The sequence below is a fragment of the Homo sapiens genome, chromosome 12 (genome assembly GCF_000001405.40).
Source record: "Homo sapiens chromosome 12, GRCh38.p14 Primary Assembly".
In the NCBI taxonomy this organism is placed as follows: Eukaryota; Metazoa; Chordata; class Mammalia; order Primates; family Hominidae; genus Homo; species Homo sapiens.
The window spans coordinates 57,215,367-57,229,546 of NC_000012.12; the positions used below are offsets into that span (position 1 = coordinate 57,215,367).

A 14,180-nucleotide genomic window follows, 5' to 3' on the forward strand; every position below is an offset into this window, starting at 1 on the left:
AGGTTCCTGCCTCCTGGCTTCTGCCTGTCTCCCTGGGTGTCTCTGAATCTGCCTCGTCCTCTCAGCACCGGTCCTTTTCCTGACTCGTGTGTGTGGCTGTCACGTCCCATATCTATCTGTCCATTTCTTTGTATGTGCCCCCACTTGTCTTCTGGGCTGCCAGTGACAGCATACACCTGTGTATGTCTCAGTGTGTGTGTCCACCTCTGTGGGTGTTTGCTCTCTGCCAAGACAAAGAGAGGGTGAGCGCACTGAGCAACTGTCTGGGTGTGCTCGTCTGGGTGCAGGTGTGCTCACCTCTGTTGCTGTGCTCCTCTGTGTGTTGGGGTGCCGCTAGGTGTGCGCCTGTCTCTGTATTTCGCTCTGTGTGCCCTGTCCCCGTGAAGGCATCTGCGTGCATCCCTGGGGTGGGCTCTCAAGGGATGTGTCTGTCTCTCAGTCTCTTTGCTTGTCCCTATCTCTGTCTAGGTGTTGGTCATACCACAACCTCAGCCACAGCCTCAGTGCATAGCAACAGCTGACAGCTGAAACCACCCGGGCAGGAGAGAGAGAGGCAGTGGGGAGGAGGGAACCGAGGAAGAAACAGAGAAGAGGATGGGGGCAGAGAGCTGGGGCTGGGGACAGAGACAAGGACAGAGATAGGGAATGGGGACAAGGATCTAGAAGAGCTGGTGGTGAAAGATGGGACGGCGGGAGGGGAGGAACAGAGACTGCACCAAGAGGCCAGGCAGGCGGCGCTGAGAGGGATTTCCTGCCCAGCCCCCATGCAGAGGCGCACTGGGCCTCGTGGGGGTCAGTGGTGGGGGCCAGGGGCAAAGGTGAACAGCCGGTCTAGCCGAGGGGTCCTGAGACCGCAGAGGTGCGGTGAGGCGGGGACGGGGCGGAGGGCGCCGTTTGTCAGCCCTATTGACAGACGTGATGGGGTTTCCGTCCGTGATCAATGATTCTCATCTCCGGGCCGAATGAGCCGCGGGGCGCCCATCCATCCCCGTCAGCATCGCGCGGCGGCAGCCGCCCGAGGCCCCGCCCGTCCCCACCTCGGCCCCTGCCCTGCGCCTGCCCCGACACACCTTGGCCCTGAACAGGGCAGAGGCCCGGGGCTTGGAGAGCGTCGTCCGGCTGGGCTCCGCGGCGCCCCCACTCCAGGTGCACGGGCCCGGAGCCCAGAGCCCCACGCCCTGCCCCGTTCCTCCTGGGCGCACAGACGCGGCCTCTCGGGGGACCAGTGCCTGAGCCCCTCGACCCCCTCCGCTTCGCACCTGGGCCAGGGGCGTGTCCGGGGCGTGCCGGTGTGAAAGTCACCTTCGGTGCCCCCAGCTGGGCGGGAGGGGGCGCGCGGGGCGCGGCCGGGATTGGAGCGCCGCGGAGCCCCGCCCCCCGCCCGCGGAGTCAGACCCAACTTTCTCCCCCGCCCGCGCCCCGCCCCCAGCGCCGGCTCCGCGCCTCGCGCCCAGTCCGCGGGCCGCGCCGCCGCTCCCGCCGCTCCCGCCGCTCCCGCCGCTCCCGCAGCCGCCCCGCCGCCCGCCCGGAGCCCCGCGTCCCTAGGCCTGGCTCCCGCCTGCCCGAGACCCGCCCAGCCTGCCCCGCTCAGCCGCCAGAGAAGATGCGGCTGCTCCCGGAATGGTTCCTCTTGCTCTTTGGCCCGTGGCTCCTTAGGAAGGTAAGAGTGGCAGGGCTGGGGCGCTAGCGCGGGCGCGGGGTTCCGGGACGCGAAGGTCCCAGTGTGCGAGGGGCTCCGTGCGCCCGCCCCGCCCCCAGCTCCGAGCGTCCCAACTTTGCGCGGCGCGGGGGAAGCGGACAGACAGACTGCCCGATTCAGGACGGGCACTCTCCTAGCGCAAGTTGGCTGAGGCTTGGAGAGGGTGCCGGGCGGAGGTCCCCCTTGCAGCCGACTTCAGGCGCGGCGGGGGAGGGGACGAAGCCCGACCCGCGAGTGCGCCAGACAGAGCGGGAGTGCGAGACAGACAGACAAGCCAGCAGGGTGTCAGCCTTGCCGTCTTTCCGCGCCAGTCTCGCTCGCCTGCCTCACTGTCTGTCTGTCCTTCCACCCCTCCACCCCCGCCTTCCCATTTCTCTTCTCTGCACTTGTCACCATGCCAGGTGGGCTCTGTGTCGGGAGCATCCATGGCCCGAGCACACACGCACACACGGACTCAGGCAGACACGGCTGAACTTGGCTACAGCCAGCCTCCCATCACATTTCCCACGGAGACACCATCTCCCCTGCACGACCTCACAGACACACCCCCCTCTCGTGCCCCACTGAAGGGGGAGGCTGTCTGGAAGGGGAGTCTCTCCTCCCATGCCCTCCCTGCCTCCAACCCCACTCCAAGGCCTCTTTCCCTGAGGCTCTCGGGCGAAGAGCCAGAGGCTAAGGGAGCTCAGACTTGATCTGCCTCCTTCCTGACTTGGAGGCTTCAACCTGCGAACATGCTGTGCTCATATGTGCTGGGTGGAGGGCGTGGGTCACCGTGTGCACCTGTGTGCATGTGTCCAGGGAAGCCAGGCTTGGTCCAGTACTGGGGCCGAGGGTACATGTGTATACTGGTGTGGTGTGTGGTGTTGGCTTTGCATGAGTGAGTGTCAGTGCCTGCCTCACAGTGCAGCCATCTGCCTATGCCCCTGGTGTGTGCCCGCAATGGGGGCCCAGGCCCCAGTCCCCCATTTTCCTTCTACCAGCCTCCCCTGCCTATGGCTTCCCTGTTTTCTGACCCCCAACTGTGACCTACCTAGTTTGGGGGCAGGCAGGTCATTCCCCAAACCCTCATTCTCTGTACCCTCAGCCCCTGTAGAGTCTAGAAGGGGTGTATTTCTTCCCCCAACACTTGGACCTCTGCCTGCTCAGCCAAATCACATTTGGCAAACCCCAGCAGGGCAGGGGCTGCCCCAGTGAAGCTAGCATTAGAGCTCCCTGGCCCTCCCAGCCCCACCTGGTGACCTTGAGGGGCTGCACGGTAGGCAGAGGAGCCCCTCCATGAAAACTGCTTCCACTAGCAGGAGCTTCTTAGGGACTTGCTGCCCAACTCTGTCCTTAGTGAACTGGAGGAGTGGGGGGGGTCTGTGCCCTACCACCCACCCACCCATGTGTGAAGGCCTGGGGTCAAGAGGTGGTAGGTATGGCATTCTCTTGCCCCTCCTTTCCACTTCCTCCCACCTCATCTCCACTCTCCCAGGCAAATAAACTCCCCTGTGGACAGATCTGGTTTAATTTCCTTTGCCCCCTGAGGGGGAATGAAACATCTGGTGGAGACTTGAGTGAGAGTGAGCGTGAGGATATGAGCAATGGGATCTATCTGAGTGTGTGTGTGTGAGCTGCAGCTGTGGGGCCTCCGTGTTGGAGTCAACAGGGAGAGTGGATCTGCTGGTTAGCCCAGCTTATGTGCATGTGAGAATGTGTTTACATGTGTACACACTGCGGGTGTGTGAATATGTATAACTGCACGGGGAGGTGTGGGTATATGAGTGTTTGTGTGTCCAAATACCTGTGTGTGCTTCTGTGCACTTGTGAGTGTGGCGTATGCACATGTATACCCCGGGGTTTCTGGTGCATCTGTGTGCTGGGGCCCATGTGTTGTCTGTATGAGTCTCTGGGGTTTGTGAGTGTGTTTCTGTGTGCTTGTGATTGTGAGTGCATTTGAGTGTGCTATGAGATTGTGAGCCTCAGGATGTGTTTATGTATCTGAGTGTGGCTTATGTGTGTGGGTGCTCAAGGGTGTCTTGGTGCCAGCACTGGGAGTGGGCAAAAGGTGAGGCTGATCCTGGGTAAGAGGTGGCTAGGGGACAGTTTACAGGGCAACTTTTTGGCAACCCTAACCATGAACGGCTGACACCTCTGCCTCTCCCGTCCTGCTTGCTCACCCTCCTCCAGGTTTCTCTCCCTTCCTCCTCACTCCAGGCTTCCCATTTCTCAGAGCCTGGGACTCCTGGCTTCCACTGCCTCTGGGGTTCTGGCCTCTCAGCCAGGGATTCTTGAGGATCTTTCTCATACAGTCTCTGACTCCTTTCCCTCTCTCTCTGTCTCCCCGACCCCTTGCCAAAGCAGCTGCCTACTGGGAGAAGCAGCAGGCGATCAATAGTCACTAATCACTAATCACTAATTACTAATTAGCTGGGGGAGGGCAGGGGCGGGGCCCTGTGGGACCTGCCAGCTCTATCCCGCCTCAGGAAAGGATTAGGTCTGATTCTCTTAGAGCTGGCTGGCCGAAGCCCCTCAGCCAGCTACCCCCTCCTGCCTCCACACCCTCCTCTAGCCCCCCAGCTAATCTCTGCCTGGGCCACTTAGGCACGCACAGCCTGGGCTAGGGCCCAGAGCTGCTGCCGGGGATTTGGGGGTAATCAGGGGCCGCAGCTGGGCCAGGGGGACAGGGGAGGGCCTGCTGTGACAGCTCCCTTGGGCCAGAGCCTGCAGTGGAAGCCTCACATTCCTAATAGGAGGGGCATGCGTCAGAAAGGAGAATTTAGAGTGTCAGGGTTGGGATGGGTAGAGGAGCTGGAGACCCAGGAGCGGGGTGACTGGCGAAGAGGTGAGGTAATAAGGACAGAAGCAAGGCAAAGAGGGGTCAGGGACGAGGTAATTGGAGAGAGACAACACAAACGTCTAAAGAAAACAGGTAAGTGGGGGGACCTCACAGGGGTCAGAGATGGAGTAATTGGCAAGGAGATGGGGAACTTTGGACCTAGCCCTGCAACTCAAGATGTGTGGGATCCGTGAGGGACAGGGCAACAGAGAGGGGGCAGGGTCATAGGAGAGGGTCCCAGGGCTCAGGCGCAGGAGGAGTCGCAGGGCGTGGGGTGGGAAGCAGCTGCCCAGTGGGGATGGGGAGCAGGGAGCGCTGCCTTGAGCGCTGGAAATTGGCGCGGCTCCCCCTCTCCCCCGCCTGCCCCTCCTCCACCTCCACCCCGCCCACTCCCCCTCCGGCTCCGGCTTCGGGAAATTACATCCCCGCTCCGCGGCTCCCCCCAACCCCCACCGCGCCCCGGAGCCGGCGCCTTTATAGGCACATTTATTGCAATAATAAAGTGAGGCGCGGGGCGGGGGGCGGGGGGGCAGTCGTTCCCGCGGGGACCGCGCTGGCTCCAGGAAGCAGGGAAATAAAATAAAATAAAATAAAATAAAATAAAAATTCAGATAACGGTGAGCCTTGCGCGGCAGGCCAAGAGAAGTCAGGCAGGCAGGGGTAGAGGGAGGGGGCGTCCAGCCCAAGGGCAGAGCCTACCCCACCCCACCAGCGGTCCCCGCCCCCTCATGCAGTGGTAGGGTCTGGAAAGAGGTGTCTTCGCTTCAACCTGCCTGGCCCCCTCCCACAGCCTGATCCTGCCTGGTCTTTGCCTTGCCCTCTGGCTCCTCTCCCATACCTGTCCTCAGCCCCTGTCTCTGTCCCCGTCTCCTGTGTCTTCCCTTGTCCCCCATTTCCCATTCCAGTCTCCCTTTGAGTCTTCCATCCCCATCTCCTGGGTCTCTGCATCCATCACTGTTTCTGCCCAGTAACCATCCCCATCCCCCATCTCTGTTTTGCCCCACCCTGACCCCATCCCTGCCTGTCCCCTGTGCTTATCCCTCATCCACCATTCCTGTCCCCATGCTGCTTCCTGGACTGTTCTGTAGCCCATCTTCATTTCTCTGGTCCTTACCCCATCCACATCTCTGTCTCTGCCCCACGCCTGGCCACCATTTCTATTCTGCTTCTCATCCCTGTCCCCAGGCCTATCCTCATTGTATCCTCATCCCTGTACTCTATATCTGTGCCTGCCAGTCCCCAATCCCAGTCCCCCTCCCTCTCTGTCTCAGTCCTCACCCCAGGCTGTCCTGTCCACCCCACCTCTCTCCTCACCCACATCTCTATCCCTCGTTCCCAGCCAGACTCCACCGGCCCCTATTGCAGCACCCCTGCCTCTTTCTAGGTGCAGGGGCTCAGGATGCTCTTTTCTCCCCTTCCCCAGCCCAGGCCTGGACTGTCCCTTCCTCCGGCCAGATCCTGGGAGCACCCTGCCTGACCCAGGTGGTAGGGGAAAAGCAACGGGCCAGCCTGGAGGCCCAGGGGAGGTGCACCCTGCAATGCGGCTGGGGGGCTGACAGCCTGATCCTCCCCCAATCCCAGCAGTGTCATCCCCAAAGAGCCACTCCCCGAAGTGGAGTTTGTTGCCCCCAGCAGCAGGAGGCCACCTCAACTCCCTGCAGGTGCGTGGGCCCGCTGCCTCGGGGGTAAAGCCCTCCTGGTGCAGCTCTCCCCGCTCCCCGAATGGGCCTGAAGGAGCCTGCTGAACCCCCCAGCTGCCGCGCACCTCCGCCCCGCCCCCGCGCCGACAGCAGCGCTAGCCTCTCCCCTCCGCAAATGTCACCGCGCCCAATTAGCTTAATTAAGCCAGCTCTGGAGCAAGGGGGACCCCTCCTCGGACAACATCCTGCTCCCACCCTCAGCCATGGAGGTGGGCGACAAGAGCTCTGGGCAGAGGAGCTCCTTACCACCTGCCTTCCCAACTCCCCCACCTCCCCCCATGTTGCTGGAGACAGACAACCTGAAGGACAGCAGGAGAGAACCACAGACAGAGGGAGAAAATCAGAATCATGGGAGGAGGAAATTTGAGACAGAGACAGTGAGAAAAGAGACTGAGAGACAAAAGAGACTGAGAGAATGGGGAGGGAGAGATGGAAAAACAGCACAAGAGAGGGAGAGAGAGCACGAGCAATCAAGGGAGCCAGAGGGAGGATCTTATTTTATTTTATTCCATGTTCCCATTTCTCGGCTCTCGTTTCCTCACAGACTCTCACCCCTCCCTGTCTGAACTCCCCTACAAGGTCGCTTCAGCCGTGCCCCCCCAACTCTTCCTTTTTATCTTGGCTGTCTACAGTAGTGGGTGGGGGCGGGACTGCCCAAAGCCAGGGGATTCGCCAGGATCAGAGAAGCACAGACGGCACTTTGTCTGAGATCAGAGATGGGGGTGACACCCTGGAACCTCTCCTTACCCTGCTGAACCTCCTCCCCTCCCCCTGCCCCTTACTTCTACCCCCTGCCCCTGTCTGGTAGAAGTCACTGGCCTGAATCACCCCAGCCAGGTTCTGACTGGGTACAAGACATAGGGGTGCTCTGGTCTGCTGGGAGGAGATGGCTTGGAGGCATTTGGGGTCATAACATCTGATGGCATGGGGATAGGGGGGACCTGGATGACTGGGCTTCTGGAAAGAACAGCGGTTGGGTGAGATTAGGGACCAGAGTTCAAATGGCCCACCCTTCAGCTTTCCCAGGAAACCTAACCTCCCTCCCCCAATGCCCTCTCTCAGATTCAGGCCCTGCCCTCTCCAAGCCCACTTCTGGGGCCTCTTCTCCCTCCCACTGTACCCTGGGACCCCTCCCTCCACCCTCTCTCAGGCCCACCCTCCAGGTGTTAGCTGCTGGCTTAAGCCTGTCTGTGGGAGTCAATCATTCTTGCTGCCCCCGCCCCCTCACCTGGGCTGAGAGGAGGGATGGATGGGAGGGGGAATGAGGGGGGCGATAAATATGTATGACGAGCGGGTGGTGGCAGCATTAATAACCCGGGATCGCAGCGTGGCGGGGACGGGGACCAGGCGGTGGAGATTCTAGCCCAGCAGCTTGGCTCTGCTGTTCCTGTCCCCAGTGACACTGTGTGTGTACACATGGGTGTGGGCAAACAGAGGGGGGCACCCATGCTTCCTGGCCTCCTTACCTACCCACAGCACAGCCTGTGGGCCAGTGTAGGACACCTCCCCAGAGACCACTCAGATACAATTGACATGCATGTATGTCACCCCCATCGGAACACAGCAAGACCACACTTGTTCTATGACTACGGATACACCCCCTTTAGAAAGAGCTTGACACTTGGGCAGAGGATGACAGGGGCTCACACAGGAAAGGTGACACCTCCAGACAACCACATATAGCTACCCTCAGACCGCTATACACAGCCATATAGCCAACCCAGACACGTAACCACACCAGTCACACAGACACCACTCCACAAATTGACACACACACCCAGCCAATCCAGGCACATACACACAGTCACCGATTTACACAACAGACATGCAGCCACGACAAGCAGCCACACACACACAGGCTCCTCAGACTCATAACCATGGGCATCCAGATACACACCCACACAGCCACCACAGCCACACACACATGTACCGGCCACACACACACAACCATTTGGGGCTAACAGAGACACCAGAACCCCAGGCTGACACACATGGTACTGCCTCCCCCCATGGGACCTGTGCACAGTCAGGGCCACAGCACGCGGCGGTGGTGGCTAGCTCAGGCTGACTGACACACTCTGACATGCAGCTCCTCTCTTGCCTGCTCCCCTCGCTGGAGCGGCATCTCCATATTTCTTCCTCTTGCTTCCTGTCTCCTTCACTCCTGGCCACCCCCACTCACCCCTACCCCAGATAATTGATGGCCCGGGCCTGGCCCGGCCGCTCCTGCCTCTCGATCCATCTTGTCCTCGAGCCCATGCTGTCTCCAAGATCGGTGGCCACCTGAGACACATAGAACGGGTGGGAGCAGGAGGGGGCTCCTTAGCCCCCTTGGAGCCCAGGAAAAGAACGGCCAGGCGGCCTCCACCAGAGTGGAGCACTGGCGACTGGGAGGGATACCCAGGCTTTCCTCCTCTGCTCAACTGGTTCCCAGCACTCACTCCTTGCAGGCCAGTTGGGGCTGAGGCCCAGGTGGGGGCTCTGGTCTCTGAGGTCCTGGAGCCTCTTTCTTTTTCTTTTTCTTTTCCTTTCCTTTTTTCTTTTCTTTTCTTTTTTTTCTGAGAGGGAGTCTCGCTCTGTCGCCCAGGCTGGAGTGCAATGGTGCGATCTAGGCTTACTGCAACCTCCACCTACCAGGTTCAAGTGATTCTTCCACCTCAGCCTCCCCAATAGCTGGGACTACAGGCGCACCCCAGAACGCCCGCCTAATTTTAGTAGAGATTAGGTTTCTCCATGTTGGCCAGGCTGGTCTCGAACTGAACTCCTGACCTCAGGCAATCTGCCCACCTCAGCCCCCCAAAGTGCTGGGATTACAGGCGTGAGTCACCGCGTGTGCCGGGCGGGAGCCTCTTTCTTGATGCTGGATGTTAATGTGGTCACAGCCTCCCTGGCTCAGTTTGCTCAGAGTCCAGTCCCTCCCTGGCTCATTACTGGAACCAACCAGGTGCCGGGCCAGGAAAGATGAGCCAGGATCCAGAGCTCCACTCCCTACTCACCTTCACACTGGCTTTGGGTTTTTGGCCCTCATTGGAGCTCTGTGGGCCACATCAGGATTCTTGACGTCATTTCACAGATGTACAAACTGAGGCCCAGATCCATGAAGTGACTGGGCCAAGACTACATAGCTTGAAAGGGCTGCAGTTCTCCTCCAAGGCACGCTCCCTGCCCGCTGCGGGACTGCGTGATTCCATTTGGTCTCCTAGCGGCTGTGGAAAGGGACTGGCGTCGATAGGGCTCTGGCAGGATGGCGGGGGACAACCCCAGCGTCTCTCTCTCCTCTTTCTTCGTGCACAGGCCGTCAGTGCCCAGATACCAGAGTCCGGAAGGCCGCAGTACCTGGGGCTGCGCCCCGCCGCGGCCGGAGCGGGTGCCCCCGGCCAGCAGCTCCCAGAGCCAAGGTCTTCGGACGGCCTAGGCGTGGGCCGCGCCTGGAGCTGGGCCTGGCCGACCAACCACACGGGGGCGCTGGCCCGGGCAGGGGCAGCCGGGGCGTTGCCCGCGCAGCGCACCAAGAGGAAGCCGTCCATCAAGGCGGCGCGCGCCAAAAAGATCTTCGGCTGGGGGGACTTCTACTTTCGGGTGCATACCCTCAAGTTTTCGCTGCTGGTGACCGGCAAGATCGTGGACCATGTGAACGGTACCTTCAGTGTGTATTTCCGCCACAACTCGTCCAGCCTGGGCAACCTCAGTGTCAGCATCGTGCCGCCCTCCAAGCGTGTCGAGTTCGGAGGAGTCTGGCTGCCCGGGCCTGTCCCCCACCCTCTGCAGTCTACGCTCGCCCTGGAGGGGGTGCTTCCTGGGCTGGGGCCCCCGCTGGGGATGGCAGCAGCAGCGGCGGGGCCCGGGCTTGGGGGCTCCCTCGGGGGCGCACTGGCGGGGCCGCTTGGGGGCGCGTTGGGAGTGCCTGGGGCCAAAGAGTCACGCGCTTTCAATTGCCACGTGGAGTATGAGAAGACAAACCGCGCGCGCAAGCACCGACCGTGCCTGTACGACCCGTCGCAGGTGTGCTTCACCGAGCACACGCAGAGCCAGGCCGCCTGGCTCTGTGCCAAGCCCTTCAAAGTCATCTGTATCTTCGTCTCTTTCCTCAGCTTTGACTACAAACTGGTGCAGAAGGTGTGCCCAGACTATAACTTCCAGAGTGAGCACCCCTACTTCGGATAGCGCCCCTCCCCAGCCAGTCCTGAGCCTCCCGCCAAATCCCAGCCTCACTAGGTGGGACCCCCTTCCCAGTGTTCTGCCGCTCCTGTGGCCATGTCGCCCACTCCTTCCACTCTGGGGGCGGAGGGGAATGGCTTCTCGGGACCCTCAGCTAGCGTGGGTGCCCTTTTCCTTATGCGGAGTGCCCGCAAGGCTGGGGTAGCCCCCTCCAGTACACCCCAAAGTGAAAGGGATAAGAGTGCAGCCCCAGAATAGGCGGGGCTTGGAGGCGGTCCCAATGTCCCCTGGGTCCACAGTGGGTCCCCTTTTCACCCTTGGCGCTAGGCTGCGCACTCCCTTTCCCCGCAGCTTTAATAACTCCTGGCCTGGCACCCTCACCCCACCCTGACTTTCCCATCCCCCAGCGCTTGTCCTGCTTCACCCTACCCCGCCTAAGACTGTAAAGGCCTAAAAACCTCGGCCTGTCCTCCCACCATTCTGCCTGCCATATGCCTGTCCCCTTTTCCTCCAAACCCTATTAGGGTACCGGAAGCAGAACCCCTGGGCTGAGGCCCTGGCCCTGCCCCCGGCCCCTGCCCCTGCCCGCCCCCCTCCAGTCCAGGCAGTCGAGCTCCACCTGCCCTCTCCTGCTGCTTCCTCTCGGTGATATTTTTTCTACGCCAAAACAGACGGGAAAGGGAACAAAATAAAGTGAAATCCAATACACGCCTGTGTGAGACCTTTGTAGGGAATGGGGAGGTGGCGTGGGGCTTCTATGTGGTAGAGACCTGGCCAAGGCCTTCTCCCTCAGCGGCTCTTGGGGAAACCAAGACAAAGACTGACAGAGCTAGCACCTTGGAAGTCACCAAAGACCAGATCAAAGAGAGCTGAGGGTTACCCTCGGGGTAGGAGCCCCGCCTGAGGTTGGGATTCTCCTCCCTGAGGTGGGCGAAGGGAAGCTGCAGCAAGTGGGATGGAAATGAGACCTGAGTGGGGATCACCAGCGGACGATTTGGGGAAGGAGGTGTAAGACCTTGAATGGGATGGACAGGGACAGTGTAGGCAGAGCGCTGACAACCTGCTAAGCTCCACGGGGCCGGCGGGAGGTGGCAGGTTGGGAGGGAGGGGGAACGGTGTTCGCGGCATCTGGAGTCATCGATCTTCCTTTTCCTTCCTAATTTCGTGGGCGCTGAGTTTGCAGACGGAGGAGGTGGGGAGGGAGCTTTGGGATGAGGGGGTGGGGGAAGGGACCAGCGCGGGTTTGGAGGGCGGGGCCCGTGGCCGCTACTTGCCACTAGCAAACACAGCCCCCTTTAGCCAGCTGCCCACCCTCCCCCAACCCCTGCCTCCGGCTCCCTCCTGCAGCCGAGGCTGCTAATTTTATCCGCCCCCGACCCTGGCCTGGGCGTTAATTGGCTGCGGCTTCATTAGCGGTTCTCCGCTCAGCCGCCCCCTCCCCTTGGGGCCCCTGGCTGGAGGAGGGAGGGGGGGCGGTGCGGACAAGCTGAGGCACCGAGAAACTCCTCATCTTCGCCTTGAGTCCGGGGTCAGGGTGCCCACTGGGAGGGCAGTGTTCCCCAGGGGCTTGCCCACTGGCTCCAGCCTGAAACTGAGTCAGACACGGGGTCTGACCCAGACATATCTGGGAGTGAAAAGTCAGTAAGCAGAAAATAAATATCTGCTGGCTGGCTGGCTGAATAACCGGGTCAACTGAAAAGAGGAGGGAGATCAGGAATGGTTCTGGATCCGAGATTGGCCAAAAGCAGAAGAACCCGGAAGTCTCCTAACACCAGGCTTATTGCTGGAAACACCTGAGAAGAGCTGAGCCTAGAATGGCAGGGAAGGAGCTTCCGGCTAAGGGGAGATTTCTAAGGGCTGGTATGAGAACCAGGTGGGAACGGCTGGAATTAACAAATTCGCCCATCTGGGCCTTAGTTTCCCCACTTGTAAAGCTACAGTAAAATAGTGTGTGGTGGGGATTCTATGAGGCTTTTCCTGTGAACATGCTGCTGTGCTGGATAGTCCTCCCCTCTTCCTCTGCCTCCTCCTCTTCTTCCTCATACAGCTGGACATCTGAGAGCAGAGTTAGGTGTGTCTTCCTGTCATTGCACTTGTCACACTTTGTTACCTGTTCACCTCTTGGTATCCTAGCAGCCAGTGAGCTCTTCATGTATCTCCAGGGCTATGGAATGCCTGGCATAGAGTAACATTGCTACATAAGGCAATGATTCGCAAAACCACTGCTTAACAGGCTGGTCCAAGTGCAGTGATGTTTACTTGATCATAATCAGTTACATTATGATAATTGATCATAATCAGTTACAGGTTTCTTTGTTTCTTCTTCACTCCCACTGCTTCACTTGACTGGCCTTTAAAAAACAATTTTTTTGGCCTGGCGTGGTGGTTCACACCTGTAATCCCAGAACTTTGGGAGGCCAAGGCAGGCGGATCACCTGAGGTCAGGAGTTCAAGATCAGCCTGACCAACATGGTGAAACCCCGTCTCTACTAAAAAATATAAAAATTAGCTGGACGTGGTGGTGGGCGCCTGTAATCCCAGCTACTCAGGAGGCTGAGGCAGGGAGAATTGTTTGAACCCAGAGGCAGAGGTTGCAGTGAGTGAAGATCATGCCACTGCACTCCAGCCTGGGTGACAGAATGAGACTCCGTCTCAAAAACAAAAAACAAAAAAAATTTTTTTTGAAGACAGTCTTGCTCTCTTGCTCAGGCTGGAGTGCAGTGGCTTGATCATGGCTCACCTTGAACTCCCGGGCTCAAGTGACCCTCCTGCCTCAACCTTCCCAGTAGCTGGGACTGCATGCACATACCACCATGCCTAGGTAATTTAAAATTTTTCCTTTTGTAGAGATAGGGTCTCACTATGTTGACCAGGCTGGTTTAGAACTCCTGGCCTCAAGAGATTCTCCTGCCTTGGCCTCCCAAAGTGCTGGGATTACAGGCATGAGCCACCATGCCCAGCCAAAAATTTTTTTTTAATTAAAAAAAAAAACTTGGCTTATCAGAATCACTGAGGAGAGGTTTAGTTGTGTGACAGCATAAGTGGGCAAATGTCTACTCTTTGAGATCCATTGAATTAGAACCTCTGAAGACAGACCCCACACTCATATTTATATCATATTTTCTAACCCATTCTGATGCTGAGGTTTGGGAACCTACTCCTGGAGGGGTTGATGAATCCCATTCCCAAGGGTTTCTTCCGGATGAAGTCAGGCTAAAAGGAAGATCCCTTCCAGTCTCAAAGATCTATAGCCCTGGGGAAAAAAGGAGAGCCCACCGACTCCTGGGACATCAAGAGGTGGACAGGTAACAAAATGGGACAAGTGAACAACAGGAGGGGTGCCTTCCTCTGCTCCCAGATGTCTGAGGAGAAAGAGGAGATGCCATGTAGGAGGCAGGTCTGTGGGTCAGAGGAAGAGGGGAGGACAATCTGTCACAGCGCATGTTCACAGGAAAAGCCTCATTGAATCCTCACCACACAGTATTTTCTTGTGGCTTTACCAGGGAGGAAACTGAAGCCCACACAAGCTAATGCACTAGTCCCAGAGCCGGAACTTGAATTCAGGTCTTCCGACCCTTCTAAACCACGGTGCTTTCCAGTGTTCCATAGCTCTTTATCTTGTGTGGGGGTCTAGATCTCCTGGAGTCTAATAATGCTAGCTAGATATTCAGTAGGCACCCTATAAACGTTTGTCTTGACAACAAGCAGAGAGAAAACCCTGAAAAGCTTCAAGATAGTAAGGAGAGGGGGCGGCACTGGACCTCTGTTTTTGTTTTTTGTTTTTTTCCCCCCAGGCAAGGGCCTC

General features: G+C 58.9%; 1 protein-coding gene across 2 annotated transcripts, besides 8 other annotated features; it reads left to right on the forward strand.

The window, feature by feature from the left end:
• Positions 826 to 1,325: an enhancer, noted in NCBI's record as "H3K4me1 hESC enhancer chr12:57609975-57610474 (GRCh37/hg19 assembly coordinates)". NCBI's record gives its function as "activates a minimal SCP1, AML or CMV promoter by ChIP-STARR-seq in naive H9 embryonic stem cells {active_cell/tissue: H9 hESC(naive)}" and the evidence as "EXISTENCE:reporter gene assay evidence [ECO:0000049][PMID:30033119]".
• Positions 826 to 1,450: a biological region, named in NCBI's record as "H3K4me1 hESC enhancer GRCh37_chr12:57609975-57610474".
• Positions 991 to 1,450: a silencer, noted in NCBI's record as "silent region_4577". NCBI's record gives its function as "represses an Ori minimal core promoter by ATAC-STARR-seq in GM12878 lymphoblastoid cells {active_cell/tissue: GM12878}" and the evidence as "EXISTENCE:reporter gene assay evidence [ECO:0000049][PMID:35858748]".
• NXPH4 (neurexophilin 4) lies at positions 1,428 to 11,083 on the forward strand. 2 transcript variants are annotated; one of them, XM_017018747.2, is made up of 3 exons: positions 1,428 to 1,660; positions 9,512 to 9,854; positions 10,309 to 11,083. In XM_017018747.2, exons 1-3 carry the CDS (start codon positions 1,604 to 1,606, stop codon positions 10,578 to 10,580), a joined length of 672 nt encoding a protein of 223 aa, XP_016874236.1. In that variant the 5' UTR covers positions 1,428 to 1,603; the 3' UTR covers positions 10,581 to 11,083. The 2 variants fall into 2 exon arrangements, with proteins under 2 accessions (XP_016874236.1, NP_009155.1); NM_007224.4 differs by having other exon boundaries at positions 9,512 to 11,083.
• Positions 1,473 to 2,081: an enhancer, noted in NCBI's record as "H3K4me1 hESC enhancer chr12:57610622-57611230 (GRCh37/hg19 assembly coordinates)". NCBI's record gives its function as "activates a minimal SCP1, AML or CMV promoter by ChIP-STARR-seq in naive H9 embryonic stem cells {active_cell/tissue: H9 hESC(naive)}" and the evidence as "EXISTENCE:reporter gene assay evidence [ECO:0000049][PMID:30033119]".
• Positions 2,082 to 2,688: an enhancer, noted in NCBI's record as "H3K4me1 hESC enhancer chr12:57611231-57611837 (GRCh37/hg19 assembly coordinates)". NCBI's record gives its function as "activates a minimal SCP1, AML or CMV promoter by ChIP-STARR-seq in naive H9 embryonic stem cells {active_cell/tissue: H9 hESC(naive)}" and the evidence as "EXISTENCE:reporter gene assay evidence [ECO:0000049][PMID:30033119]".
• Positions 7,944 to 8,850: an enhancer, noted in NCBI's record as "H3K4me1 hESC enhancer chr12:57617093-57617999 (GRCh37/hg19 assembly coordinates)". NCBI's record gives its function as "activates a minimal SCP1, AML or CMV promoter by ChIP-STARR-seq in naive H9 embryonic stem cells {active_cell/tissue: H9 hESC(naive)}" and the evidence as "EXISTENCE:reporter gene assay evidence [ECO:0000049][PMID:30033119]".
• Positions 9,581 to 9,740: a silencer, noted in NCBI's record as "silent region_4578". NCBI's record gives its function as "represses an Ori minimal core promoter by ATAC-STARR-seq in GM12878 lymphoblastoid cells {active_cell/tissue: GM12878}" and the evidence as "EXISTENCE:reporter gene assay evidence [ECO:0000049][PMID:35858748]".
• Positions 13,995 to 14,164: an enhancer, noted in NCBI's record as "active region_6528". NCBI's record gives its function as "activates an Ori minimal core promoter by ATAC-STARR-seq in GM12878 lymphoblastoid cells {active_cell/tissue: GM12878}" and the evidence as "EXISTENCE:reporter gene assay evidence [ECO:0000049][PMID:35858748]".